General features: G+C 45.7%; 1 annotated feature.

Annotated features, from left to right (window-relative positions):
• Positions 227 to 466: an enhancer, noted in NCBI's record as "active region_2980". NCBI's record gives its function as "activates an Ori minimal core promoter by ATAC-STARR-seq in GM12878 lymphoblastoid cells {active_cell/tissue: GM12878}" and the evidence as "EXISTENCE:reporter gene assay evidence [ECO:0000049][PMID:35858748]".

Raw genomic sequence — 2,283 nt, forward strand, 5'->3', positions numbered from 1 at the left:
AAGCATACAATGCATGTCTTAGTAAGAATGGCTTCAACTGGTATGCTAACTTTTTAGGTCCTTTCATTTTATTCTGACAACAATCCTTGCGGGTAACCCAGTACCTATTTTAACACTTTGCTTCAGAGTTAGAAGTTTTTATGAATTGATTTTATGGAAGAATTTTTGTAAGTATGTTTAAATGTTATGCCCTGGTTATCAAACAAGACCCAAGCCTAGTCAGGCCTCTTAAGCATGGAGAGAGATGAGCCTTCTCAGCGATCTGCGCCTTTAAGGAGGGCTCCGCTCTCCTGTCTGCATCCCGGTGCTGCATATAAATGGCCTCTGTGGCTTCAGCCTGCTTATTTCCATTCAAAGTGTACACTCTGCTTTTTCCCCAAAGTAAAAGCATTTCCAGGAGCGCCAAGCACATCTCTTTTTTGTAGACTTCCTCTTGGCAGAGTGAATACTGCTGATTTATAAATTACATGGAGGTGTGCAAAGGAGATCAAGGTTCAGTGGATGTGAGCCCACATATGGCACCTCCCACAGGCCCAGACGCTGCCCTTAATTCTCAGCTCATCGCTTCTGCCAACCTTGTCAGTTCTGGCCACTCAAGCGGCACTCTGATCAAAGCAAAAGTAGTTGTCTTCCTCTTAGAAAAGAGGAAATAGGGTTCTTCCTTTTGCAAGTTAACATACTCAAAGCATCATTTCCCTTGTTGAATTTTTCCTAATCCTTATTTGAAATAGGCTCCTATGCCTTCATAGGGGGCCATTTTCATTGGCGAAGAAATTGTCCTCTGTTTTTTTGTTTGTTTGTTTGTTTGTTTGTTTTTACTATCAGATGCAGAACTCTATTTGAATGAAATCTTTATAGGAAAGAGGACATGCCTTCGATGACCACATTCCCCTCCCATAATCTGATGCTAGAATGCAGTGGAATGCACATTGCTTCTCATCACAAATAGCCACTGAAAAGGAGAAATTCTTGGCATTGTGGACTCACTACTTCCTGTGGATAATTACTAGAAATATACGCGTGTGCATGCATGTATGTTGTGTATGTGCCTGTCCAACATGCTGGGTCAAACTTTTGGATCTTTGAATCATACTGACTATGTGGAATACAAACATGATACCGCACCCTGTGGATCGTCACAGTCTCCCTGTTTCTCTCGGCAATGCTGGCTGGTTGTCTCACCAGTTAATGAATGAAAGAAGAGGGAAAGGGAAGGAAAGGGGATGAAGAGGAAGAAGAGGAGAGATGGCAGGAAGCTCTGACATACACAGCCCCACTCACTGGCTCACTTTCCAGCCTCTGCTGTTATTCCTTCCTTCTGGGCTCATACCCTGGGTCTCCAGCCAACTGGTGATGAGAGTCCAGGGACTTTACTGCCTTTTCACCTGTCTGGTGTCTCAAAACAGAGAACTGCAGCCCAAGACCATTTTACCTTTGCAGTAGAATGTGAGAATTAAAACTGATCTCGGCTGGACACGGTGGCTCACGCCTGTAATCCCAGCACTTTGGGAGGCTGAGGCGGGTGGATCACCTGAGGTCAGGAGATAGAGACCATCCTGGCTAACATGGTGAAACCCCATTTCTACTAAAAATACAAAAAATTAGCCGGACATGGTGGCGTGTACCTGTAATCCCAGCTACTCAGGAGGTTGAAGCAGGAGAATTCCTTGAACCTGGGAAGTGGAGGTTGTAGTGAGCCGAGATCACGCCATTGACTCCAGCTTGGACAACAAGAGCAAAACTCCATCTCAAAAAAAAAAAAAAAATACTGATCTCAATTCAGGCAGGCTCTGTGGCTCACACCTGTAATCCCAGCACTTTAGGAGGCTGAGGAGGGAGGATCACTTGAGGCTAGAAGTTTGAGACCAGCCTAGGCAACAGAGCAAGACCCCATATCTACAATCAATAAAATAGAAGTTATCTCAATGCAATAGACGTGAGGAACAGCATGGTGGGACAGATCAAGTGATTTTTTTTCCATGGCCATCAGGACCAGGACAAAAAGCCTGTTCTTTGGACTTCCTCAGTCCTGTGTGACACCAGACTCAGGCTGCTTCTTCTCACCCCCTCTTAGCTCACCCTGGCCTCAGCAGCTTCATCCTGGCCTTGGGGACACCTGTCACACAGGGTGGGGACAAACACCACCATATTTACAGACACACCACAGCAGTGGTTTCCAACCACGGGTGATTTTGCCTCCTTGGGAGATTGTTCGCAATGTCTGGAAGTAATTTGGGTTGTCACAGCTCGGGGGAAGGGGTGTGCCACTGGCATCTAGTGGGT

The sequence above is a fragment of the Homo sapiens genome, chromosome 10, assembly GCF_000001405.40.
Source record: "Homo sapiens chromosome 10, GRCh38.p14 Primary Assembly".
In the NCBI taxonomy this organism is placed as follows: Eukaryota; Metazoa; Chordata; class Mammalia; order Primates; family Hominidae; genus Homo; species Homo sapiens.